The following is a 25360-nucleotide window of genomic DNA, read 5'->3' as shown; positions in this document are numbered from 1 at the left end:
AAGTGATTATCCTGCCTCAGTCTCCTGAGTAGCTGGGATTATAGGCATACGCTACCACTCCCGGCTAATTTTTGTATTGTCAGTAGAGACGAGGTTTCACCATGTTGGTCAGGCTGGTCTCAAACTCCTGACCTTGTGATTTGCCCGCCTCAGCCTCCCAAAGTGCTGGGATTACAGGCATGAGCCACTGTGCCCAGCCCATGCCCTGTCTTTTCAAGCTTTCTGCACATACCAAGACCCCCAGCCCAGCTCACTCAGACAAAGCTACTGGCGGGAAAGTGTGAGGAAGGGTGTGGGCGTGGCCCAGGCCCTCCTCTTCTCTCTGCCGTATACTGATAGGGCTGCCCCGCCCCCCCCCGCCCCCCCGCGACTCAGCCACGAGAGGTCATCCTTGCTCCAGCACAGACCCCTAAGAACCCTCACTCGGAACAGGACTTTGGGAAAGGTGGTTTCTATAAATAGATGAGTAAATAAATTGACAGTTGAATATACCAAGCGTCCTGGGGACCGCAGGAGGAACTGTGTACAGATGGCTTGAAGGCCAGAGGCTTGGGTTGTTGTCCTGGCCCTGCCACTGGCCAGCTGTTTGACCTTGAACAAGTCAGTTCCACTCTGTGGACTTCAGGGTCCTCACCCAGAAGAAGAGCAGCCATATGGTCTCTACTGCCTGGTAAACACCCTGGCTCACTCTCGCGAGACGGTGGTTCTCAAAGTGTAGTGTGTAGTCCACACAACACCTGCATTGCAACCACTGGGTATTTATTTATTTATTTATTTAATTTATTTATTTATGACGGAGTCTCACTCTGTCGCCCAGGATGGAGTGCAGTGGCACGATCTTGGCTTACTGCAACCTCTGCCTCCTGGGTTCAAGTGATTCTCATGCCTCAGCCTCCCGAGTAGCTGGGACTACAGGTGCCTGCCACATCACCCGGCTAATTTTTTGTATTTTTAGTAGAGATGAGGTTTCACCATGTTGGCCATGCTGGTCTCGAACGCCTGACCTCAAGTGATCTGCCCACCTCGGCCTCCCAAAGTGCTGGGGTTACAGGCGTAAGCCACCGCGCCTGGCCAAGGGAAGTTTTTTTCTTTTCTTTTTTTCTTTTTTCTTTTCTTTTCCTTCTTTTTTTTTTTTTTTTTTTTTTTTTTTTTTTTTTTTAACACAGGTTTCTGAGCCTCAATTCCAGATCAGCTGAGCCTGGAGTTTCTGAAGACAAGGGCTAGAAATCTGCACTTTAAAGTCTTGAAAACCACTGTGTGCCTTCATCTAAGCTGCCCCTGCTTCTCTCCCCTCCATCCCTCGCCTGGCCCTGTCCTCCCTACTCTCCCCTGCACCCTCCCCCGCCCCAAGCTCCCCACAAACGGCCAAAGCAGCAGTGTGAGGCAATCGCTCTATCCTTGACCCCTTCCTTTGCACAGTGAGTGATGGCGTTTTTATCTCCTGATGATGATGCACAGCCTTCAGCGGGGGACATTTAAGACGCAGAACACCAGGTCCAGGCTGCAGCTGCGGGACTCAGAGGCGAAGCTTGAGGGGCTCAGGAAGGACGAAGAACCACCCTTGAGAGAAGAGGCAGCAGCAGCGGCGGCAGCAGCAGCGGCAGCGACCCCACCACTGCCACATTTGCCAGGAAACAATGCTGCTAGCGACATTCAAGCTGTGCGCTGGGAGCTCCTACAGACACATGCGCAACATGAAGGGTGAGCGCTGCGGGAAGGAGGCGATGAGGGGTTGGCCAGCTCTCAGCGGATGAGGCTCAGGCCACCCAATTCTGATCCTAGTTGTGCCTCTTACTGGGTGAACCTGGGCAAGTTTCTTCCCTTCTTGAATCTCAGTTTTCCCCTCGGAAGAAGTGGGCTGGTTACTAAGATATATCCCTTCCAGATTCTATAATTTCTGGTCTCCCCTCCAGGACTCCAATCTTTTTTTCTCCTTTTCTTTCATTTTTATTCTTTTTCTTTCTTCCTTCCCTCCTTCCTTTCCTTTCTTTCTTCCTTTCTTCCTTCCCCTTTTCCTTCATTCGTTCTTTTTTTCTTCCGCCTTTTCTTTTTTTTTTGTTTGAATAAAGGTCTCTGTCACAGAGGCTGGAGTACAGTAGAACAATCATAGCTCACTGCAGCCTCAAACTCATGGGCTCAAGCCATCCTCCCACCTCAGCCTCTTGAGTACCTGGGACTACAGGCGTGCACCACCACAACCAGCTAGTTTTATTTATTTATTTTTATTTTTATTTTTTTTAGAGACAATGTCTTGCTATATTGGTCACGCTGGTCTTGACCCCCTGGGCTCAAGGGATTCTCCCACCTTGGCCTCCCAAAGTGCTGGGATTACAGGTGTGAGCCGCCACACCTGGCTTACTTTATTTTGAGATGGAGTCTCACTCTGTTGCCCAGCCTGGAGCGCAGTGGCACGATCTCGGCTCACTGCAACCTCCGCCTCCTGGGTAGCTGGGATTACAGGTGCATGCCACCACGCCTGGCTAGTTTTTGTATTTTTAGTAGAGACAGGGTTTCGCCACGTCGACCAGACTGGTCTTGAACTCCTGACCTCAGGTGATCTGCCTCCCAAACTGCTGGGATTATAGGCATGAGCCATGGCGCTCAGCCTATTTTATTTTTGAGGCAGTCTCGCTCTGTTGCCTAGGCTGGAGTGCACTGGCGCTATCTTGGCTCACTGCAGCCTCTGCGTCCTGGGTTCAAGCAATTCTCCTGCCTCAGCCTCCTGAGTGGCTGGGACCACAGGCGTGCACCACCATGCCTGGCCATCTTTCTTGAACTATTCCTGACTTTGCCTTCCTTCAGAGCTGGACAAGTCTTGTAGCAGGGGTACACAGGAAAGTCTTGCCCACAGTGGCAGAGTAAATATTAGACTTGACTCCCACAGGCAAAAAAAGACGGAGAAGAGACATAGGGGAGTAAGACAGGAGGGCAAGGTAAAGAGATAAGACGGAAGACTGATTATCATTGAATAGCCAGGAAGGGGCAGAAACCAGCTACAAGAGGCCACTTTTGTAGAGCTGATTCGCATCCAAGGTCATTTGAATCAATCCCCTGCTGCCACTGAAGGGTACACAAGTCAATCTAGGCACGATCTTTCCAATTACACTGGATTGAATTAGCTACCTTTAGAGCGAGAAGCCATGCTTAGATCTGCAGCTGGCAGTGGTGTTGTCGTCCTCACTAGATGGACAGGGCTTCCCTGGCCCAGAATCCAGGGGCACACAGAGTAGCTTATGCATGCAAGCACACAGACTCACAGAAGCACAGATTCATGCAATCAGATTCTGGCAAGCACACAGACCTCATGCAAGCACAGACTCGTGCAGACACACAGACTCATGCAAGCACACAGGCCTCAGGAGTTGTATTCTCCTTATGAAGTAGGATTTTTCTGGTTGCTTGAACACAGCTTTTTCCCCTTTTAGAGACAGAAACTCCAGCAGGCTCTGGTATAGCCCATCTCCAGGCAGGGCCAGGCCTGACCACCCCAGATGGAAGGCAGATTTCTGGACCCTGGAGCACTGCCATGGGAGTTGAGGGCCTGGCTCTAGTTCAGGTCCCTGCTAGAATCCTGTGTGCTCCTGAGCAAGTCACTTCCCTCTCCAAACCAACTTACTCATTTGAGACAAGATGAGGGGGTGGGAGTGGTCCATCTCTAAGGGGCTTTCCAGCTCCTAGACAAGGGTTATTCCCTTCTGCAGGGCTGAGGCAACAGGCTGTGATGGCCATCAGCCAGGAGCTGAACCGGAGGGCCCTGGGGGGCCCCACCCCTAGCACGTGGATTAACCAGGTTCGGCGGCGGAGCTCTCTACTCGGTAAGTGCTGAGGCTTCTGGGCTCCTGGTGCTGCTGGCAGGAGGTTCCCTGGAGGGTGATGTGGTGCATGTGGCTTTGGCTCCCCTCCTGCCATTCCTTCATTTTGAGAGGACGTCCCCAGCCTAGAGTTCCTCAAGGCCAGATCCCTCTCTGGTCACCTGGGGCGGCTGTGATTAACTCGACCAGCAGGCTGGCCCCTATGGCTTTAGTCCGGGCTCTTCAGAGCAATGAGCAGACCCAGAGCTCCAGGGATGAGAGCTGGTGGAGGCTGGGAGAAGAAGGAAGCTCTGTCTCTCCTCGGCTGTGTATCCAGGTTCTCGGCTGGAAGAGACTCTCTACAGTGACCAGGAGCTGGCCTATCTCCAGCAGGGGGAGGAGGCCATGCAGAAGGCCTTGGGCATCCTTAGCAACCAAGAGGGCTGGAAGAAGGAGAGTCAGCAGGTAAGTGTCGGGGAGAAGCCTGTGGTTCCTCCATGCTCCACTGCCATCCTCAAGGCCAGCTGGGGTTACTATTTTTCCCAGAATTCCTGTCTCATGCAGCAGTCACTGGGTAGCAAGTGGTTTTATCTTGAGAACTCTCCTTTCTCGAGAATATATCCTCAGATAATGCTCTTCCCCCATAAAAGACACCCTGGAGAGTCCTGTTTGAGAAACACTATTCCTGTGTCCTTAGTTACAGAATAGGATTGCATTGTGTGCCCACTTGGCAGACATCATGCAAGGGGAACTCCAAGTGCCTCATTGCCCTGGGTCAGATATCCCAACGATGCCAAAGTGCACTGTCTGTGCTGTCAGCCCACCTGTGGCTGGGCTTGCAGGGGTGATGTGGGCTCACCCTACAACAGGCCTGGACTAGAACACAGAGTGGTCCATGGCCTTCTGGGGTTCTCTGCGCTTGAGCACTGACCCATCACAGGGGACAGTAACCAGGTTCACGGTAAAGGCTGGTGGCTCTGTTATGGAGATTTTGGTGGCTTTACCTTCAGCAAAAGCTGACATGCTGCCCACTACACAAAGTTCAGGTAGAACCCTTCCTTCCCTAAGTTCTCAGAGTAATGGAGTTAACAGACTACTAGTTTGGGAGCCAACTGGGACTTAGGTCGGCACTGCTCTTAGTTAAGGGTCCCTGGGCCAATCACTGACCTTCTCTGGCCCCACATTCTTCTGGTGTGGAATGAGGTATTGAACTAAAACAAATCTTGAAGATCCCATTCAACATTCTATGTATCTAATTAAGCTGGTGTAAAACACTTTTCCCACTCCCAGGTTTCTCTCTTGGGATCTTTGAGCTTCTGAAGTCAAGTAAGAGTCTTTTCAGTTGGACCTACCCATACCACCATCATTCACCACCAAGACAAAGGGTCCAGTGGGGCTGGGTGCAGTGGCTTACGCCTGGAGGCCGAGACTGGAGAATTGCTTGAGCCTAGGAGTTTGAGACCAGCCTGGGCAACACAGGGAGATCACATCTCTACAAAAAATTTAAAAATTAGCTAGGTGTAATGCTGCTTGCCTGTAGTCTCAGCTACTTGGGAGGCCGAGGCAGGAGAATTTCTTGAGCCTAGGAGGTTGAGGCTGCAATGACCCGTGATTGTGCCACTGCACTCCAGCCTGGACAACAGAGTGAGACGGTCTCAAAAAAAAAAAACAAGAAAAAAATCTTAAAAAGGGTCCAGTGGCAGCAGGTAACTTCCTCCAGTTGTCAGCAGATGCACAAGGCCATGGCAACAATGATTACCGACTCTATCTTAGGACAGTTCCAGGCTTCCTCGTGCTCAACTTGGAGTTCCTTTGCTGTTCCCCTCCCCATCTTGCCTTGTATTGCCTATGGGACCTAGACTAAGAATATATATATATATATAAAATTTTTTTTTTTGAGACAACTCTGTCGCCCAGGCTGGAGTGCAGTGGTGCAATCTCCACTCACTGCAACCTCTGCCGTGCAGGTTCAAGCAATTCTCCTGCCTCAGCTTCCCAAGTAGCTGGGATTACAGGCGCCTGCCACCATGTCTGGCTAATTTTGTAGTTTTAGTAGAGACGGGGTTTCACCATCTTGGCCAGGCTGGTCTCGAACTCCTGACCTTGTGATCCACCCACCTTGGCCTCCCAAAGTGCTGGGATTATAGGCGTGAACCACCATGCCCGGCCAAGAATATTTTTGTCTAACCACCTTCTGGGGGCTCCTTTCTCTGACAGGACAATGGGGACAAAGTGATGAGTAAAGTGGTCCCAGATGTGGGCAAGGTGTTCCGGCTGGAGGTCGTGGTGGACCAGCCCATGGAGAGGCTCTATGAAGAGCTCGTGGAGCGCATGGAAGCAATGGGGGAGTGGAACCCCAATGTCAAGGAGATCAAGGTGAGCAAAGTCCAGGTGCAGGTGGCAGGGGCCCAGGAGAGCCCAGTGTGAATGCTGTATCAAAGAGAGGACCCCTAGCTGTGGGGGGTGCTTAGCCCAACACAGGCTGAGTCGTGATTCTGGTTCCCCATGGCCTGGTAGGTCCTGCAGAAGATCGGAAAAGATACATTCATTACTCACGAGCTGGCTGCCGAGGCAGCAGGAAACCTGGTGGGGCCCCGTGACTTTGTGAGCGTGCGCTGTGCCAAGCGCCGAGGCTCCACCTGTGTGCTGGCTGGCATGGCCACAGACTTCGGGAACATGCCTGAGCAGAAGGGTGTCATCAGGTAATACGGGCAGCAGGCTCCAAACCCCCCTCTTCTAACACAGGCCTGCAGGTGTGCACCCAAGCATGTGGACTGCATCCCCAGCTCCAAGAAACCAACCCTTGGTGCACCCATGGCTTCCTTCTACAAAAGAAGATACTTATTTACCAAAGGAGGGACAAAGACAAGATAGGCCCTACTTGGACAGCCAGACAGCTTGTCATGACCCTCCCAGAAAGTTTAAGAACCTTAATAATTTTCTGAAGCATGGGGCAGGGCTGAGGTTCACCTGGTACGCTCAGGAACAGCTGTAATGTAGACTAAAATATTGAAATAATCCATACCACTCAGTACACCACAGCCTCCTGAATTTCCCAAGGCCCCAGCCCAGCCACCAGCCTGAATCCTTTCCCTGACATCCCAGTAATCCAGCAACTAAAGGGCACAAGAGGCCGCAGGGGCTGCTCCAGCTACAAGCAGCCTTTATTCTGATGAGCTGGTAACTGTGCCAACTGCCAAATAATTACCCTTTGCAAAGGGCACTTCCCTGATGAGACTCAGAAAAGACAAGGTACCGTAGAAACGTGTTATCTATGGTACTGGTGTAAGCAGCCAGTGCAAGAGAGAACTCGCAACTGTCCTCCTGACTTGACTTCTCCATTTGCCAGGGCGGAGCACGGTCCCACTTGCATGGTGCTTCACCCGTTGGCTGGAAGTCCCTCTAAGACCAAACTTACGTGGCTACTCAGCATCGACCTCAAGGTGAAGGGCATGGGAGGGGGACCTGGAAGGCAGGTGGTAGTGAGAAAAACAGGCTCTTCCCATTCCCCCCATGCTGCAGAAAGAATCCTCTTCTATTCTGATAGAATCACAGGCTGTAAGACAGGGAAGGGTCTGGAGTGATGGCCTAACTGCTACTCTACCATCTCCAAAGCCTGTGATGGCCCCCTCTTCTTTTTTTTTTTTTTTTTTTTCGAGACTCAGTTTCATTCTGTCACTCAGGCTGGAGTACAATGACATGGTCTCAGCTCACCGTAACCTCCGCCTCCCGGATTCAAGTGATTCTTCCGCCTCAGCCTCCTGAGTAGCTGGAACTACAGGCGTGTGCCACCACACATGGCTAATTTTTGTATTTTTAGTAGAGACGGGGTTTCACTATGGTGGCCAGGCTGGTCTCAAACTCCTGACCTCGTGATCTGCCTGCCTCCAAAAGTGCTGGGATTACAGGCGTGAGCCACTGCGCCTGGCCCTCTTCTGTCTCACAGCAAAGTTCAACTCTTATATGTAGTTATCATTTTAGAAAGAAGGAAACTTAGGTCCAGAGATCTGAAGGGTGAAAAAGGCAACATAACTGGTTCAGGGTCACACAGCTGGGAACACCAGGCTGAAACATCTTGTTGGCCAGTCTTGTGCTTCTGAAAGTCATGACAGCAGAGGAGCAATGCAGTCCTCCCGCCCTTGACTGGGCAACTCCAAGGCTGCACCTATTAACAGAGCTCGAAGACCAAGCCCCTGGCAGCCTGTTTGTGATAGGGTGCAGTGTCAAGAGTGGGCCAAAACCCACAAGATGGCCAAATTCTCCTACCTCCTACTGCAGGGGTGGCTGCCCAAGAGCATCATCAACCAGGTCCTGTCCCAGACCCAGGTGGATTTTGCCAACCACCTGCGCAAGCGCCTGGAGTCCCACCCTGCCTCTGAAGCCAGGTGTTGAAGACCAGCCTGCTGTTCCCAACTGTGCCCAGCTGCACTGGTACACACGCTCATCAGGAGAATCCCTACTGGAAGCCTGCAAGTCTAAGATCTCCATCTGGTGACAGTGGGATGGGTGGGGTTCGTGTTTAGAGTATGACACTAGGATTCAGATTGGTGAAAGTTTTTAGTACCAAGAAAACAGGGATGAGGCTCTTGGATTAAAAGGTAACTTCATTCACTGATTAGCTATGACATGAGGGTTCAGGCCCCTAAAATAATTGTAAAACTTTTTTTCTGGGCCCTTATGTACCCACCTAAAACCATCTTTAAAATGCTAGTGGCTGATATGGGTGTGGGGGATGCTAACCACAGGGCCTGAGAAGTCTTGCTTTATGGGCTCAAGAATGCCATGCGCTGGCAGTACATGTGCACAAAGCAGAATCTCAGAGGGTCTCCTGCAGCCCTCTGCTCCTCCCGGCCGCTGCACAGCAACACCACAGAACAAGCAGCACCCCACAGTGGGTGCCTTCCAGAAATATAGTCCAAGCTTTCTCTGTGGAAAAAGACAAAACTCATTAGTAGACATGTTTCCCTATTGCTTTCATAGGCACCAGTCAGAATAAAGAATCATAATTCACACAAACATCAGTCTTTGTTTTAATATTGTACTGTTAAAAAAATCTATGCAGCTGGGTGCAGTGGCTCACGCCTGTAATCCCAGCATTTTGGGAGGCTGAGGTAGGCGGATCACAAGGTCAGGAGATCGAGACCATCCTGGCCAACATGGTGAAACCCCGTCTCTACTAAAATACAAAAAATTAGCTGGGTGTGGTGGCGCAAACCTGTAGTCGTAGCTACTTGGGAGGCTGAGGCAGGGGAATCACTTGAACCCCGGAGGCGGAGGTTGTAGTGGGCCGAGATTGTGCCACTGCGCTCCAGCGTGGGCGACAGAGTGAGACTCCATCTCAAAAAAAAAAAAAAAAAAATCTATGCTAGTAGATTACAACTTCACACTAGAGGAGTTCTGGACAAAGCTTTTAATTAGTCAAACTAAATTAAGGCTCATTAAAAGGAAAGGAACTACTGGGAAATTATGCAATTCAATAATTTAGACTCTGTTACCAGGATCTTTCATAAAAATTTAATTTCCATAATCATAACCTAAATGAGTTCTTAAAGAATTCTATAAGCAATAGCTGATTAATGGGCCCTGGAAGATGAAGATTATAACTGTTTATTTACCTAATTAAAAGGAAAGGCAGTGCCAAATATGAGAGGATAAACAATATTAGTTAACATTTCTGTTATTTATGATGCCAATTAGTAGTAAGATAATTCCACAGCTGTCAACTTTGTTTGGGGCTGGCAACTTCTCTGCTTAAACAGGCTAAAAGTTTAGTATTCTGGGAGAAGTGGCTGGAAGAAGGGGTAATATGGTGAAAGCAAATTCCCTTTCCCAGGAGTCAAGAGAATTTATGTGAGGTGGCTCCCGCCTGTAATCTCAGCACTTTGGGAGGCCAAGGCAGGCAATCACCTGAGGGCAGGAGACCAGCCTGACTAACATGGAGAAACCCCATCTCTACTAAAAATACAAAATGAGCTGGGCGTGGTGGTGCATGCCTGTAATCCCAGCTACTTGGGAGGCTGAGGCAGGAGAATCGCCTGAACCCGGGAGGCGGAGGTTGAAGTGAGCCAAGATCGAGCCACTGTACTCCAGCCTGGGCGACAGAGCGAGGCTGTCTTAAAAAAAAAAAAAAAATTATACACACACACACACACACACACACACACACACACACATTGGGATGGGAGGGGGGTAGGGAGGATGAAAAAATCACCATTACCACCTGAAGCTTTTCCATTCTTGTTTTAATAGCATTGATGATTTGCACCATTTGGAGATAGAGCTCTGGCTTATTTATTATAAAACAGGAGCTGGGCACAGTGGTGCCTACCCACAATGCCAGCTACTCTGAAGGCTGAGGTGGGAGAATTGCTGGAGGGCAATTCGAAACCAGTCTGGGCAAGATAGTGAGACCTCATCTCAAAAAAAAAAAAAGAAGGAAAAAACAAAGGAGTTGATGAAACCAAATTATGACAAACTAAATTAAAAAATTAAAAAATAGCATTAGTGGGAACACTGTGGTATTTCCTGAGGTATTAAAATTTTACAACTAGTAAAGGTATTTATTATAATTTATTCGGATTGTTTCTTAGTTTATTTTTGACATGGATAAAATTATTGTTTATCTAGGAGCCTCAGAGTTGAGAGAGGATAGTTGTAGAGAAGTATTTCTAAAATGGAATTATCATCCACTACCAGCTAAGAGAAAATAGTTACTTGTTTAAAGATACCTTAAAGCAACATATATTGTAGTTTCAAGAGAACAGGCTGACAGTCAAGAAATAGGCTTTTAACAAACCCACTGGTTTGCTGGATTCTAATTGCCTCCTTCAAACTATGTAATTGTGTCTTTCTGGTTTCTGTGGAGATATTTTCCCACTTGTTTAATTTTACACTGGAATAAAACAAGTTATCACTGTTGATCTGATTACAGAAACTATTTTATATAGGACGCTGTGAAGAGTAGATATTCTCTGAGCCCTTCAAATGAACTGTATTAAAACACACACACACTTTTGAAGTTTGAGAAGAACATCATTACCTGTAACCTTTGATTTGTGAAAATATATACAAAAAGCTAATTTTATAATTTAGATGGAGAGTGTGTATACAACTTATATGTGGTAATTTATATTACAAAGAGTTAACATTCAGCTTCCTCTAAATAACACCACCCTCATTTTCTTGGAGTACCTCAAACTCCGATGATCTAGAAGCTTTATAACCAGGTCTGCCCTTGAAGACTAGTTCACGCATTAATAGGTGTCTAGGGCTGAGCCTCAGCCTCCAATCACACTCGACCTGTATAGGCTTTCCTGTTCAGAGATATGCAGTGGCCAAATCAAAGTGTCTGGGTGATTCATCGGGAGACAAATATATTAATCAATGCTACTATGTTAAAATACCAATATTGTCTTGAAGTGTGGGAACTCTCTTAAACAGGAAAATGATAAGATATTCAGAAGAGCCACAGGCATAACATGGTGATTCTGCAGCAGCATGTCACCCTCCAGTGGTGAGCCACTCTACTTATTAACCGAGGTAGAGAGGTAAATGCAGGAGGGACTTTGGGCAATCCTGGGAGGGCTGTCTTTGCCGTAAGACTGATGTATTGAAAAAAGGAAGACAGGCCGGGTGTGGTGGCTCATGCCTGTAATCCCAGCACTTTGGGAAGCCGAGGTGGGCAGATCATGAGGTCAGGAGATCGAGATCATCCTGGCTAACACAATGAAACCCCGTCTCTACTAAAAATACGAAAAAAAATTAACCAGGTGTGTTGGCACGTGCCTGTAGTCCCACCTACTCAGGAGGCTGAGGCAGGAGAATTGCTTGAACCCAGGAGGCGGAGGTTGCGGTGAGCCAAGATTGCGCCACTGCACTCCAGCCTGAGTGACAGAGCAAGACTCCATCTCAAAAAAAAAAAAAAAAAAAAGAAAAAGAAAAAGAAAGAAAAGAAAAAGGAAGATAAGGAAATTATATATGAATCCAAAAGGAAAGGGTTTTTTGTTTTTGGACACAGGGTCTTGCTCTGTCGCCCAAGCTGGAGTGCTGTGGTGCAAACATGGCTCACTGCAGCCTCGAACTCCTGGGCCCAAGGGATCCTCCCACCTAAGCCTCCAGAGTAGCTGGGACTACTGGCATGTGTCATCACGTCTGGCTAATTTTTTTACTGAGAAGGGATCTTGCTATGTTGCCCAGGCTGGTCTTGAACTCCTGGTCTTGAGCAATCTTTCTGCTTTGATGTCTCAAAATGCTGGGATTATAGGTGTGAGCCACAGTGCCTAGAAGCCTCATTCTTTTTTTTTTTTTTTTTTTTGAGACAGAGTCTTGCTCTGTCGCCCAGCCTGGAGTGCAGTGGCACGATCTCAGCTCACTGCAACCTCCGCCTCCCGGGTTCAAGCAATTCTCCTGCCTCAGCCTCCTGAGTACCTGGGATTACAGGTGCCCGCCACCACGCCCGGCTAATTTTTGTATTTTTAGTAGAGACAGGGTTTCACCATGTTGGTCAGGCTGGTCTCGAACCCCTGACCTCGTGATCCACCTGCCTCGGCCTCCCAAAGTGTTGGGATTACAGGCGTGAGCCACCGCGCCCAGCCTAGAAGGCTCATTCTTACATTTCAGTCTTTAATAGTCCGAAAACTGCCCTTTAGCCATCAGCTCAGGGCAAAGGAAGATAAGCAAGACAGGAAACCACCCGCACATATATCAACATCCATGTTCCAAGGGAAGACCGGGAGGGAGATCATTAGCCCTTTTAAACTCTTGTTCCTCTCCTCAAGGTGGCAGATTTTCACAGGAAAGGGGGTGGCTGATTGGCAAGAATGGGAGCAATAGGAAAGCAGCCAAAACACAACTCAGAAACCCGGCTCTTCCTCCCAGTGCCAGCTCCCTTCCTCGTGCTGCTTACATTTCTGAACACTGTCACCAAGAGGCACCCAATCTGAAGGGAAGCAAAGTGTCACATAAACTTCAAAACAAGTTTTATTTGGGAAGTTTCTCATTTTGTTAAAGCTGCAAGCAAGTTTCTTTCACAATTACACTTCCAGAGATCTAGTAGTTTTACGGATCTCAGTGTTCAAAAGTGTATTTCAAAATGAACAAAACCAAACCCACACCAAAAGGAAATAGCGTTTAGATTGGTTTGGAATGTATAGCCATTGATTTCAGGTGTTCTCAGAAACAGGTTACCATTTCCTTGGAAAACAGGTGGGATACAGTCAATGCCCACAGAAGGAAATGTCTTTTAAATAAGTTAGTTACTCGGACAATATTATTCACTCCTTAGAAAATATAGTAGGATAACAAGTCACAGCTGGCAGGGTATGCAGTACAGCACCGATTTCACAGGGGGCTTATGCAATCCTGGAGTCAGCGGTTGTTGGCTTATGGTACACAAAATAAGAGCAGTCACTGGAAGTGGGGAGAAAATGGTGAAAGGCAGGCAGTCTCCCGCAGTCCTACCCAGCCTTTTAACTTGCTAAAAGGAGAGGCTGTGTTTTTAGCATCTTTGGGAGAACATTTGAGACAGTTCAAAAACAAAAACAAAACCCCCAGTATTATTCCCAGAAAGTCCTTGACAGAAAAGAGGGACCTGGTCAGGGTTCCCATGGGGGACTGCGCCTCCCATCCACTTCTGTCTCCACGTGATACAAGACGTCAGCCAGGGTGTGCTCTACCACGGCGCCCCAGCCCATGTCACTCATCTGCAGGAGGAATGAGAAACAGAACACGGTGACTACAGCAGCCACGGAGATGCTGAGGACACATGCAGCCATTTGTAATGTTACTCACAGGGCGGTAAGTGAGATCCTTCGGAGGATACTTGAAGCATGGTCCAAAGTTAATGGAAACCTGGAGCGAATTCAATTCAAGCAGACATGGAAAAAATGGACAAAAAATATTGGAAAAGTTAATTTGACACAGGAAATTTTCACTTTAAATGTGGCTACAATACTCGGGGGATAAATGGAACAAATAAGATATATATTAAATATTACTAAAAGTGGTCAACATCCTGATGTCCATCAAGAATTAGGTAACTAAAAGAGATCTGTGTTGATTTCTGTTGTCAAAGAAAAATAAAAATTCAGGATCCCAATTTGCTCTGTCAAAAGGAAAAAATTAAGCTGAAAGCTGAGTCATGCAAGAAACTGCCTTTCCTTTTGTTGCTAAGCAGACACCTACAGATAAAACGTTAAATATCCCCACAGGCAGCTACTTTATGTTCACCTTACCTTATGTGAAGTGCCGATTTACCGGGCATGAGATGAATACATAATTGACTTTCCCCTATCTGCTCCTTTTCTCTTGCAACATGTGGATGACCATACCCTCCTACTTTCCCCTCCAGCCCGCATTTCCCCTTTATTTTACTTTTTATTTTTTTTGAGACAGGCTCTGACTCTGTTGTCCAGGCTGCAGCGCAACAATGCGATCACGGCTCACTGCACCCTTGACCTCCTGGGCTCAGGGGATCCTCCCACCTCAGCTTCCCAAGTAGCTGGGACTGCAGGCATGTACCACCACGCCTGGCTAATTTTTTGTATTTTTTTGTAGAAAGGGGGTTTTGCTATGTTGCCCAGGCTGGTCTCGAGGTCCTGGGCTCAACTGATTCTCTTATATTGGCCTCCCAAAGTGTTGGGATTACTGCCGTGAGCCACTCCGTCCAGCCCTTTTTCTTTTTAAAACTTTTAAGCCCTCAAATTCATCCTTGGAGAAAGGCACAGACCACAGACTGTTTCTGTGATTCTGTTTTTTTCTTACAGGCAGGTCCTTAACTTTGGCAAAATAAACTTCTAAATTGATTGAGATCTGTCTCAGATAGTTTTGGTTTACACTGTTTAAAGATTTCCTTTTTTTTTTTTACCTGCTTCAATGGTGCCTACTGACAGACTAAAAGTACATGGAAATCTTCATGCATTAACTTTTTCTTTCTTTTTTGAGACGGAGTCTTGCTCTGTCACCAGGCTGGAGTGCAGTGGCATGATCTTGGCTCACTGCAACCTCCACCTCCCAGGTTCAAGCAATTCTCCTGCCTCAGCCTCCTGAGTAGCTGGGACGACAGGCGCGTGCCACCAAGCCTGGCTAATTTTTTATTTCTTTTTGAGACAGAGTCTCGCTCTGTTGCCCAGGTTGGAGTGCAGTGGCACAATCTCGGCTCACTGCAAGCTCCACTTCCTGGGTTCACGCCATTCTCCTGCCTCGGCCTCCTGAGTAGCTGAGAATACAGGCTCCCGCCACCAGGCCCAGCTTTTTTTTTTCTTTTTTTTTTTTTTTTGTATTTTTAGAGAGATGAGGTTTCACCGTGTTAGCCAGGATGGTCTCGATCTCCTGACCTCATGATCGGCCCGCCTCGGCCTCCCAAAGTGCTGGGATTACAGGTGTGAGCCGCCACACCCGGCCGATGCCCGGCTAATTTTTGTATTTTTAGTAGAGATGGGGTTTCACCACGTTGGCCAGGATGGTCTCGATCTCTTGACCTCGTGATCTGCCCACCTCGGCCTCCCACCAAAGTGCTGGGATTACAGGCGTGAGCCACTGTGCCCAGCGCCACCCCCGCCCTTTTTTTTTTTTTGAGACGGAGTCTCACTCTATTGCCCAGGCTGGAGGGCAGTGGTGTAATCTTGGCTCACTGCAGCCTCCATCTCCCGGGTTCAAGTGATTCTCCTGCGTCAGCCTCCCCCACAGCTGGGATTATAGGCGCGTGGCCATCACATCTGGCTAATTTTTATATTTTTAGTAGCAACGAGGTCTCACCACATTGGCCAGGCTGGTCTTGAACTCCTGACCTCAAATGGTCTGCCTGAGTCACCCTCCCAAAGTGCTGGGATTACAGGCATGAGCCACCGCGACTGGCCTAAGTTTTCTTTTCTTTTCTTTCTTTTTTTTTTTTTTGACACAGAGTCTCGTTTTGTCACCCAGGCTGGAGTAGTGGCACGACCTCAGCTCATTGCAACCTCCGCCTCCTGGGTTCAAGTGATTCTCCTGCCTCAGCCTCCTGAGTAGCTGGAATTACAGGCATGTGCCACCAAGCCCAGCTAATTTTTGTATCTTCAGTAGAGACGGGGTTTCGCCATGTTGGCCAGGCTGGTCTCGAACCCCTGACCTCAAGTGATCCACCCACCTTGGCCTCCCAAAGTGCTGGGATTACAAGCGTGAGCCAGTGCACCCAGCCCCAACTTTTCTATATATCTGTATCTATCTACCTATCTACCTATATATTTTTAAAACCAACAGGCCCTAATGATAGTACCCTTCTTCATGTTTGGATCATATTTAAAAAAAAAAAAAACTTGCCAGATGTGGTACCTCATGCCTCTCTGTAATCCCAGCACTTTGGGAGGCTGAGCTGGGAGAACTGCTTGAGCCCATGACTTTGAGACCAGCCAGGGCAATGTAGTGAGATCCTGCCTCTACAAAAACAAAAACCAAAAAATTAGCACACCCCACCTACTCAGGAGGCTGAGGTGGGAGGATCACTTGTGCCCAGGAGGTCAAGGCTATGGTGAGCCTATGCAACAGAGTGAGACACTGTCTCAAAAAAAAAAAAAAAAAAAAAAAAAAATCATTGTAAGCAACAATGACTAATAATGGTGGGTTATCATGACATCCCAGGAGGATTTGTGTATGTGTATTTATATCCTTCCTACTGAACGGTAACACCACACCACGTGCTCAAGGGAAAAGTATGGCGCACACAAACTGCAGGACCTTTTTCTATCCAGCAAATACTCCCTAAGATGCCCAAACTGTTTCTGGACTAAACAGTAATGGTAACAACACATGCGCATGCCACTCTGAGGCTGCTTGGATTTCGTTCCAGCACTCAGTAACTTTGTCATCACAACCCATTCATCTGCTTCCCTCAAGTTTTGCTCATGGGATGGAAACATGTACGTACCGTGCAGCTCTTGTACAGTGAGATGGCTGGGAAGTAAACCCCCTCAAAAATATCTTTGTAAGCCACACCTTGATTGACACCATTTTTATAAAATATTATCTGAAACAAAAACCATGGTTTTACTTCAGAACTGTAAAAAAGAACAAACAAAAAAAGAACTCTCTAGGAAAATATGTTAGAAGTGCTGCTGCCAGACTGCTAGTCACTCACCCAAGAACAGTGCATAACTTGTGTAATAACAACATCTTCAATTTTTATAATACTTTCGATTTTTCAAAGCATGTTAATATGCACTATTCAGGCTTTTTTTTCTTTTTTGAGACAGGGTCTCACTCTGTGACTCAGGCTGGAGTGCAGTGGTGTGATCTTGGCTCACTGCAGCCTCAACCTCCTTGGCTCAAGTGATCCTCCCACATCAGCCTCCCAAGCAGCTGGGACTACAGGCATACACCACCATATCCAGCTAATTTTTAAAATTTTTTTATAGAGACAGATCTCACTGTATTGCCCAGACTGGTCTCAAAGTCCGGGGCTTTGTTTTCTGAATTCCTGTGCTACATATACCAAACATTTCTATATTTTATTATTCATTGCACTGTATTTATAAAAGTAAGCTGGGAGGCCGAGGAGAGAGGATTACTTGAGGCCAGGAGTTGAAGACTAGCTTGGGCAACATAGTGAGACCTCATCTCTACAAAATTTTTTTTTTTTTTTAAAGTAAGCTGGCCTTCCATGGACTCCTTGGGACCACACCTGTTTAAGCGTGCTTGTTTATCAATTCCTTTCCCCGAGTCAGTTCTCACTTCTGCTTTTTCACTTTGAAGTTCTCTAAGACTCTTATGTCACATCTCTGAATCCTCATGTTCCTCCTTTCTCTCCCAGAATTACACTGAATATCCTCTCTTGACCACTTCAATTCTTCAGAAAAGGCTGCCTTCTCTTCCCACAAGAGGGGGCTTTCTGGTTATTGCATCTTTAGATCTAATAATTATTTCTCTTTAGTATTTCTTTCCTAAAAACAGCTGAAACTCGTTTCTTTATTTCACCTCCATCTCCTTCTATTAGTGTCCTGGGTGGCCTCACAGCATTAGCATTTTTATGAAAAAAATGTTTCCAGCTTAACTTTCTTCCTCTACATCCCACTTCCCTTTTTATTTTTGGTGCTTGTGGCTGGCCCAGATGTGCCAGCCTTTCTCTGACTGTGCTATGACCTTGGGCAGACATGTTTCCAGCAACCCCGGAAGTGGAGGCAGAGAAAGTTCTGAAGGACACTGAGTGAGACGTTACAGCTCCTAGTGCCCCTGGGCCACACCACAAGGTCTACTCTCCCACTCCAGGTTCCCTCCCTTTGGACTTGATACCTCCTCTGATAAAGAATAAAGACACTGGACTTGCTTCCTCAGTCTCTTGTAGATTTCCCAACAGGCCACTATTTTTTTTTTTTTTTCATTGATCATTCTTGGGTGTTTCTCACAGAGGGGGATTTGGCAGGGTCACAGGACAACAGTGGAGGGAAGGTCAGCATACAAACAAGTGAACAAAGGTCTCTGGTTTTCCTAGGCAGAGGACCCTGCGGCCTTCCGCAGTGTTTGTGTCCCTGGGTACTTGAGATTAGGGAGTGGTGATGACTCTTAACGAGCATGCTGCCTTCAAGCATCTGTTTAACAAAGCACATCTTGCACCACCCTTAATCCATTTAACCCTGAGTGGACACAGCACATGTTTCAGAGAGCACAGGGTTGGGGGTAAGGTCATAGATCAACAGCATCCCAAGGCAGAAGAATTTTTCTTAGTACAGAACAAAATGAAGTCTCCCATGTCTACCTCTTTCCACACAGACACAGCAACAATCTGATTTCTCTATCTTTTCCCCACCTTTCCCCCTTTTCTATTCCACAAAACCGCCATCGTCATCATGGCCCGTTCTCAATGAGCTGTTGGGTACACCTCCCAGATGGGGTGGTGCAGGCCACTATTTTTATACACTTTTCTCTACAGAGTTATCCTGAAAGAACAGGATCATGTCTCTAACAGCAGAAGCATGGTACTACATAAAGAGCAAAACACAATAAGCAGAGGGTGAGCTTGCCGCTGGCCAGTGGGGCTACCAGATGCCCCTTCATTCCCCTTTGGGCCTCGTGTTCCTCACTTTTATAATGAAGGAATGGGTCCTAACGCTCAAGGCCTTATGATTCTAATGTTCTTATGGCCATGACTCACCTCACTATGGGGAGTCTGCTTCAGGCTCTTCTCTGCTTTATCCACAAAGTCTTTTTCCTCAAAATACAAATAACTCTTGAATTTTATCAAAGCCTTGAAAACCAAGAAAGAAAAAAAGGCACAATAAAGCATCAGCTCCATCATCATGAAAAAAACGCATCCGCACACAAATAGTGTTAACCCCTTGAGCTCTACAACAGATATTAAAAATCTTTGCAGTTGAGTTTTGCTAGATTTTGAACTATTACACACTTCTTAAAAAATACCAGATGGCACATGTTTATTAAAACATTTTCAGTAGGCCTTTAGTAAGAAACGTGAGAAAATACATAATACATACATGCTTACCACAATAAAAATACCCATAAAAGTGGCTAAATTCACACATCTTTTCCAATAATCTCACTGAAAAAAATGACGTTTATTGAGTCTACAATCTCTTATTCTTTTTTTTTTTTTGAGACGGAGTTTCACTCTTGTTGCCCAGGCTGGAGTGCAATGGTGTGATCTCTTCTCACTGCAACCTCCGCCTCCCGGGTTCAAGCGATTCTCCTGCCTCAGGCTCTCGAGTAGCTGGGATTACACCACACCCGGCTAATTTTTTGTATTTTTAGTAGAGACAGGGTTTCACTATGTTGGCCAGGCTGGTCTCAAACTCCTGACCTCAGGTGATCCACCCGCCTTGGCCTCCCAAAGTGCTGGGATCACAGGCATGAGCCACTGCGCCCAGCCTATTCTTTTTTTTTTTTTGAGACAGTCTCACTCTGTCACCCAGGCTGGAATGCAGTGGTGTGATCTTGGCTCACTGCAATCTTGGCCTGCCAGGTTCAAGCGATTCTCCTGTCTCAGCCTCCCAGGCAGCTGGGATTACAGGCATGTGCCACCACACCCGGTTACTTTTTGTATTTTTAGTAAAGACGGGGTTTCGCCATGTTGGCCAGGCTGGTCTCGAACTCCTGACCTCAGGTGATCCACCCGCCTCAGCCTCCCAAAGTGCTGGGATTACAGGCACGAGCCACTGCACCAAGCCTACAATCCCTTATTCTATGAAAATATTTTGAAGGTCACCTTCTTCCCCGTCCTAGTTTCCCATCTGTTCCCACAGGTGGTCTCTGGGTCACCTCTTTCTTACTGGTTCTTAAGAGTCTATTTAACTATTCACTTCCAGAGAAATATATGACATTAATTTAAAAAATTTCAATTTCTTAACATATATATGTATTAAACATGGTTAGAAAAGAAGAATTCCCAAGATATACAAGCATATAAAACGAGAGTCTCTCTTTCTATGTCCCTTATACCCAGTTTCCCCTGCCAAAAGTAATCACTGTTCCAGTGTCCTGGTATCCTTCCAGAGAATCTAGGCATATATTGTCTTCAAAATTAAAACACACACATGTGGCCGAGCGCAGTGGCTCACGCTTGTAATCCCAGCATTTTGGGAGGCTGAGGCAGGCAGATCACGAGGCCAGGAATTTGAGATCAGCCTGGCCAACATGGCGCAACCCCGTCTCTACTAAAAATATAAAAATTAGCTGGGCGTGGTGGTGCACGCCTGTAATCCTGGCTGCTCAGGAGGCTGAAGCAGGAGAATTGCTTGAACCTGGGAGGCAGAGGCTGCAGTATGCCGAGACTGCGTACCACTGCACTCCAGCCTGGGCGACAGAATGAGACTCTGTTTCAAAATAAAACACCAGATAAACATACAAAAAAAAAAAAAGCCCAAAAAGCCATACAAATGGTAACATATTATAAGTTTTGTCTTGCATCTTGAGTTTTTAACTTGGCAACTACATTAGAGACCATTTTATAATCAGTATATATGCGGCTTTTGAATAGATCCATAGTATTCTGTCGTGTGGACATGTCACTAAAAATTATTTATTTATTTATTTATTTTTGAGACAGTCTTGCTCTCTGTCGCCCAGTCTGGAGTTCACTGGCATGATCTTGGCTCACTGCAACCTCTGCCCTCCAGGCTCAAGCGATTCTCATGCCTCAACCTCTTGAGTAACTCAGATTACAGGAGTGTGCCATCACATCCAACTAATTTTTGTATTTTTTTTGTAGAGACAGGGTTTCGCCATGTTGCCCAGGCTGGCCTCGAGCTCCTGGCCTCAAGTGATTTGCCTGCTTTGGCCTCCCAAGCATGGAGCCACAGTGTCTGGTCAAAAAATTTGTTTTTTTTTTTAATTAAAGGAAAAAAAATTTTTTTTGTAATGTAAATGAATCATTGAAAAAACACCTACAGAATCCTTTTAAGTGCAGACCTCTGTGTTCTGTAAAACCAGGCATCAGTGTGGTATACATTTAAAGAGTTCCGGGAGGCAGGATGGTACAATAAGTCACTAGTGTGATATAATCAATAAAAATGAGACTGTAGGCTGCTTATTATCAGAATAAACTCAGAGTATTTCCACTATCAAATTTAAAGACTTACTCTAAAGCTATGATAACCAAGACACTGTGATACATGCATAAAGGACAAGAAACAGATCACTGAAATACAGAGCTCTGAAGTAAACCTTTCCTTAACACAAACATCTGATTTTCAATAAAGGCATCAAAGAAATCCAGTGGAGAAAGGAAAGAGTTAACATATGGTGCTGGGATAATTGTGTAATCATATGGAAAAAAAATGAATTTCCATACTATACATAAAAATCTGGTCGGGCACAGTGGCTCATGCCTGTAATCCCAGCACTTTGGGAGGCCGAGGCGGGAGTTCAAGACCAGCCTGACCAACATGGTGAAACCCTGTCTCCACTAAAAATACAAAAATTAGCTGGGTGTGGTGGCGGGTGCCTGTAATCCCAGCTAATCGGGAGGCTAAGGCTGGAGAACAGCTTGAACCCATGAGACGGAGGTTGCAGTGAGCCAAGATTGCACCATTGCACTCCAGCCTGGGCAACAGAGCGAGACTCCATCTAAAGAAAAAAAAAAATTAATCCAAGGTAAATCAGACACCTATGTGTAAAAGCTAACACCATGATGTTTTCAAAGGAAAACATGGGAGAATATCTTCATGACAGGGAGTAGCCAAAGATTTTTTTTTAAATTCATGGAAAGAAATAAGTATAAAAGAAAAATTTGATAAATCAGACTTCATAAAAACTAAAACTTTGGTTCCTCAGAAGACACTATTAAGTGCAGTGACTCATGCCTGTAATCCTAGCACTTTGGGAGGCTGAAGCAGGTGAACTGCTTGAGCCCAGTAGTTCAAGACCAGCCTGGGCAACATGGAAAAAAAAAAAAAAACAAAAAATACCAAACCTGTTTCTACCAAAAAAATTTAAACTTAAAAAAAAAAAAAAAAAAAGAACAGAGAAGTCTCAGAATAGCAATATTAACAGGCAAAATATTTGAAGAGAAACTTCACAAAAAACATATGAGTGGCCGAAAAGCACATGAAAAATGCCCAGTATGTCATCAAAGAAATGCTAATTTAACTCACAATGAGATACTACTACACACCCATCAAAAATGGCTAAAATTAAGTTGACAGACAATCATAAATGTCAGCAACTAAAACCCTCATATATGGTAGGAAAAGAGTTTGGAAAATTTCTTATAAAGCTAAATATGTAACTATCCAATGATCCAAAAAGACTGTACAAGAATATTCATAGCATCTTGCTCATAGTAGCCCCAAACCTGAGACGGCCCAAGTGTCTGTCAGTAGGAAAATGCATAAACACACTGGGGCACATTCATGCAATGGAGTACTACCCTGCACTGAAAAGGGTGCACAGATATATGCAGCAAAATGGATGAGTCTCAAAAGCCAGATATAAAAGACTACAGACTGCATGAGCCCATTTAAGTTCAAGAAGAGGTACAAATTAAAGTATGGTGGGAAAGAAAGTTAAAACAGTGGTTGCCTCTATGTGGGGGTGAGGACTAACTGTGAAAAGGCATGAGGAAACTTCCTGAGGTGATGGTAAGTGTCCACATCTCTTTTTTGGGGGGAGTGCAGTGGTGTGATCACAGCTCACAGTAACCTTGAACTCCTGGGCTGAATGATTCTCCCATCTCAGCTTTTCAAGTAGCTGGGACTATCGGCACTTTTTTAGTCTTTTGTACAGATGGGGTCTCGTGATGTTACCCAGGCTGGTCTTGAACTCGTGGGCTCAAGCAGTCCTCCCAGCTTGGCTTCCCAAATTGTTGGGATTATAGGCGTGAACCATCATGCCTAGTGGATCCTACATTTCAACAGTTTAGGTCAAACTCAAAACTCAGTGAATGTACACTTAAAATTTGTGTACTTCATTTTATATACATTTTGTATCAAAAGAATGAATTAAACAGGCTGAATTCTAGCTTATGTATCCTGAAGTACTTAGTGGGAAAGTGTCCTGATGTCTGTCATTTTCTCTGTAGTGCACTAAAAAAAGACAAATGATAGATGGGTAGAAGAATGAATGGATGACTATTTGTGCACCGATTGTTACTGTTATTCTGAAAATGTCATAGCAACAGGTTAGGAAAAAACGTGAGCTGTGGCTCAGTTCCTAAGAGATCACACAAGCCAGTGATAAGCACTGGCTGCCACAGGCCTTCAAAGCCAGGAATCTGCCGGGAGAGGACAAACTCACCTTATCTTTGTATGTGTCTGGCAATGACTTGGCTGTCTCTGTGTCTTCAGGAAGATTAATATAAAATCCCAGGACGTCTCCCTGTCCATAGCCAGAAGAGTAGTGTTTGCCAATGGACTGGTGGAACTTGGTTCCCTTTTTGCTCCGCCAAGAATAGCTAAATTTATCATAACCTAAAGGAGCTTGAAGGTTTCCTGTCCCAATAAAAACATACACAGGAAGTCAGAAGATTGCAAGTCAAATCTAGTTTGCTGAAGGAAAAAGATCCTATTTCTTTTTATGTTTTTTGGTCAATTTTGTAAAATTGCTTAAAAACTTTCTCACAAGCAAAGAATTACAAAAATATCCCGGGAATAGCAAACCAGCTCAACCCTCAGGAACTGAATTCTATGCCCACAATCTGGTAAACCCAACAGCCTTGAAGCCTTAGCCCTTGGCCAGATGGTCTATCCTCTCTATCTGCTGTGATGTCCATATTAAGGCCCCAGCTTACCTAGGGGCTGGGACCAACCCAGTCTGGCAGCGGTATCTGGTGGCATCTCATCCACAGTGATTTCAAAATACCAGGCACCTTTCCGTACTCCATGAGAGGCCCTCACCATAGAGTAGCCCTTCTCTCCAACCACAGTCAGCCGGTCATCTGAGATCTTTAACTGGGGAGCTGCGGTGACAGAGATTAAAAGAAGGCCTGCAACTTATTTGAGGTTCTTGGGGACAATTGCCACAAAAACATTAGTCCAATAAAACAATTTAAAAATCACAAATATCAGGTCAGGTGTTTGAAATATTAGTTGAGGAGTTTAAAAATCTCAGCATAAGATACTGGCAAGGAATGAGAAAGCAACAAAAAAGAGAAAGTTGTTAGGTTACTTAGTTTTTATTACATGTGATTATCTTTTTTTTTTTGAGATGGAGTCCCGCTCTGTCGCCCAGGCTGGAGGGCAGTGGTGCAATCTCGGCTCACTGCAACCTCCACCTCCCGGGTTCAAGCAATTTTCCTGCCTCAGCCTCCCGAGTAGCTGGGATTACAGGCGCGTGCCACCACGCCCAGCTCATTTTTGTATTTTTAGTAGAGACAGGGTTTCACCATGTTGGTCAGGCTGGTCTCGAACTCCTGACCTCGTGATCTGCCCGCCTTGGTCTCCCAAAGTGTTGGAATTACAGGCATGAGCCACCGCACCTGGCTTATCTTTTTTTTTTTTTTTTTTTGAGACAGAGTCTTGTTCTGTAGCCCAGGCTGGAGTACAGTGGCACGATCTTGGCTCACTGCAACCTCCGCCTCCCAAGTTCAAGCAATCCTCCTGCCTCAGCCTGAGTAGCTGGGATTACAGGCGCCCACCACCACGCCCAGCTAATTTTCGTATTTTTAGTACAGACGGGTTTCACCATATTGGTCAGGCTGGTCTCGAATTCCTGACCTCAGGTGATCCACCTGCACTGACCTCCCAAAGTGCTGGAATTACAGGCTGAGTCACTGAGCCCAGCCTACATGTGATTAACTTTAAGACATCTGATTGATATTAATTATATTGCATATTCCCTCAAATATAACAAACCAATGGTGATGAGTTTGGAACTTAATTTGAATAAATCTTCATTTAAAAAATTTAACTTTTTTTTTTTTTTTTTAAGAGCCAGGGTCTTGCTCTCTTACTCAGTCGCACAACCACAGCTCACCATAGCCTTGAACTCGTGGCCTCAGGCGATCTTCTTGTGTTGGCCCAAGTGCCAGGATTACAGGTATGAGCCACTGTGGCTAGCCTCTTGACTAGTTTTTTTTTTTTTTCCTTGAGATAAGGTCTCATGCTGTTGCTCAGGCTGGAATGCAGTGGTGTCATCTTGACTCACTACAGCCT

General features: G+C 46.1%; 2 protein-coding genes across 9 annotated transcripts in view, besides 18 other annotated features; one reads left to right on the top strand and one right to left on the bottom strand.

The window, feature by feature from the left end:
• Nucleotides 1-1665: part of a biological region, named in NCBI's record as "STAR 5' regulatory region", that runs on past the window's edge. NCBI's record gives its function as "regulatory_interactions: LOC116186927 | STAR".
• Nucleotides 216-1531: a promoter, noted in NCBI's record as "1.3 kb HindIII fragment". NCBI's record gives its function as "cyclic AMP responsive promoter" and the evidence as "EXISTENCE:reporter gene assay evidence [ECO:0000049][PMID:7547998]".
• Nucleotides 575-604: a protein binding site, noted in NCBI's record as "SF1 distal site". NCBI's record gives the evidence for it as "EXISTENCE:protein binding evidence [ECO:0000024][PMID:8703908]".
• Nucleotides 985-1017: an enhancer, noted in NCBI's record as "Pax6 binding motif; methylation-sensitive". NCBI's record gives its function as "mediates positive regulation of promoter by Pax6" and the evidence as "EXISTENCE:reporter gene assay evidence [ECO:0000049][PMID:21971485]".
• Nucleotides 1366-1665: an enhancer, noted in NCBI's record as "active region_27242". NCBI's record gives its function as "activates an Ori minimal core promoter by ATAC-STARR-seq in GM12878 lymphoblastoid cells {active_cell/tissue: GM12878}" and the evidence as "EXISTENCE:reporter gene assay evidence [ECO:0000049][PMID:35858748]".
• Nucleotides 1372-1394: a protein binding site, noted in NCBI's record as "CEBP site; -140 to -118". NCBI's record gives its function as "mediates induction by prostaglandin E2" and the evidence as "EXISTENCE:protein binding evidence [ECO:0000024][PMID:10473624, PMID:18583320]".
• Nucleotides 1387-1410: a protein binding site, noted in NCBI's record as "LRH-1 site; -111 to -87". NCBI's record gives its function as "positive regulation of promoter activity; antagonized by Nr0b1/Dax1" and the evidence as "EXISTENCE:protein binding evidence [ECO:0000024][PMID:15181096]".
• Nucleotides 1387-1414: a protein binding site, noted in NCBI's record as "SF1 proximal site; -105 to -95". NCBI's record gives its function as "important for induction by angiotensin II and cyclic AMP" and the evidence as "EXISTENCE:protein binding evidence [ECO:0000024][PMID:9188726]".
• Nucleotides 1409-1434: a protein binding site, noted in NCBI's record as "SREBP-1a site; -90 to -65". NCBI's record gives the evidence for it as "EXISTENCE:protein binding evidence [ECO:0000024][PMID:11145563]".
• Nucleotides 1411-1434: a protein binding site, noted in NCBI's record as "-78CRE". NCBI's record gives its function as "mediates response to angiotensin II" and the evidence as "EXISTENCE:protein binding evidence [ECO:0000024][PMID:11145563, PMID:22253417]".
• Nucleotides 1443-1467: a protein binding site, noted in NCBI's record as "CEBP site; -55 to -31". NCBI's record gives the evidence for it as "EXISTENCE:protein binding evidence [ECO:0000024][PMID:10473624]".
• Nucleotides 1457-1466: a protein binding site, noted in NCBI's record as "SF1 site; -42 to -35". NCBI's record gives its function as "positive regulation of promoter activity" and the evidence as "EXISTENCE:protein binding evidence [ECO:0000024][PMID:9188726, PMID:16901925]".
• Nucleotides 1457-1471: a protein binding site, noted in NCBI's record as "DAX1 site; binding may be influenced by polymorphism at SNP rs16887226 (PMID:16901925)". NCBI's record gives its function as "represses promoter activity" and the evidence as "EXISTENCE:protein binding evidence [ECO:0000024][PMID:9384387, PMID:16901925]".
• Nucleotides 1457-1475: a protein binding site, noted in NCBI's record as "COUP-TF site; -42 to -24". NCBI's record gives the evidence for it as "EXISTENCE:protein binding evidence [ECO:0000024][PMID:16901925]".
• Nucleotides 1475-1479: a TATA box. NCBI's record gives the evidence for it as "COORDINATES:motif similarity evidence [ECO:0000028][PMID:16901925]".
• On the top strand, nt 1504-9756 carry STAR (steroidogenic acute regulatory protein). The gene is made up of 7 exons (NM_000349.3): nt 1504-1701; nt 3702-3815; nt 4129-4256; nt 6009-6167; nt 6309-6493; nt 7141-7234; nt 8070-9756. Exons 1-7 carry the CDS (start codon nt 1638-1640, stop codon nt 8181-8183), a joined length of 858 nt encoding a protein of 285 aa, NP_000340.2. The 5' UTR covers nt 1504-1637; the 3' UTR covers nt 8184-9756.
• ASH2L (ASH2 like, histone lysine methyltransferase complex subunit) overlaps nt 12376-25360 on the bottom strand; it is a 34588-nt gene continuing 21603 nt past the window's right edge. For 5 of the 8 annotated variants that reach the window (NM_001282272.1, XM_005273682.2, NM_004674.5 and 2 more), the window contains 6 exons: nt 23998-24165; nt 23505-23698; nt 18910-19002; nt 16690-16788; nt 13581-13640; nt 12376-13492 (listed from right to left, as the gene is read on the bottom strand). In NM_001282272.1, coding sequence (NP_001269201.1) covers nt 13385-13492; nt 13581-13640; nt 16690-16788; nt 18910-19002; nt 23505-23698; nt 23998-24165 — 722 coding nt within the window. In that variant the 3' untranslated portion in view covers nt 12376-13384. The remainder of the gene's footprint in view (nt 13493-13580; nt 13641-16689; nt 16789-18909; nt 19003-23504; nt 23699-23997; nt 24166-25360) is intronic. The other 3 variants (XM_006716412.2, XM_006716413.4, NM_001261832.1) reach the window with 1 other exon arrangement.
• Nucleotides 13971-14265: a silencer, noted in NCBI's record as "tiled region #4493; HepG2 Repressive non-DNase unmatched - State 15:Elon, and K562 Repressive DNase matched - State 5:Enh". NCBI's record gives its function as "represses a minimal TATA promoter and a strong SV40 promoter by Sharpr-MPRA in HepG2 and K562 cells {active_cell/tissue: HepG2 | K562}" and the evidence as "EXISTENCE:reporter gene assay evidence [ECO:0000049][PMID:27701403]".
• Nucleotides 17752-18497: an enhancer, noted in NCBI's record as "NANOG-H3K27ac hESC enhancer chr8:37991477-37992222 (GRCh37/hg19 assembly coordinates)". NCBI's record gives its function as "activates a minimal SCP1, AML or CMV promoter by ChIP-STARR-seq in primed H9 embryonic stem cells {active_cell/tissue: H9 hESC(primed)}" and the evidence as "EXISTENCE:reporter gene assay evidence [ECO:0000049][PMID:30033119]".
• Nucleotides 18498-19241: an enhancer, noted in NCBI's record as "NANOG-H3K27ac hESC enhancer chr8:37990733-37991476 (GRCh37/hg19 assembly coordinates)". NCBI's record gives its function as "activates a minimal SCP1, AML or CMV promoter by ChIP-STARR-seq in primed H9 embryonic stem cells {active_cell/tissue: H9 hESC(primed)}" and the evidence as "EXISTENCE:reporter gene assay evidence [ECO:0000049][PMID:30033119]".

Source organism: Homo sapiens, chromosome 8, assembly GCF_000001405.40.
Source record: "Homo sapiens chromosome 8, GRCh38.p14 Primary Assembly".
NCBI classification, from domain to species: Eukaryota; Metazoa; Chordata; class Mammalia; order Primates; family Hominidae; genus Homo; species Homo sapiens.
Note: the sequence above shows the minus strand (reverse complement) of the source record. Positions and strands in the feature narration are given on the sequence as shown.

Bases quoted from the DNA above. Each gene is read 5' to 3' on its own strand.
- STAR (NM_000349.3), top strand. From the start codon at position 1,638: ATGCTGCTAGCGACATTCAAGCTGTGCGCTGGGAGCTCCTACAGACAC. The intron at 1,702-3,701 runs GTGAGCGCTGCG...TCCCTTCTGCAG, and splicing joins ACACATGCGCAACATGAAGG to GGCTGAGGCAACAGGCTGTG. The intron at 3,816-4,128 runs GTAAGTGCTGAG...CTGTGTATCCAG, and splicing joins GCGGCGGAGCTCTCTACTCG to GTTCTCGGCTGGAAGAGACT.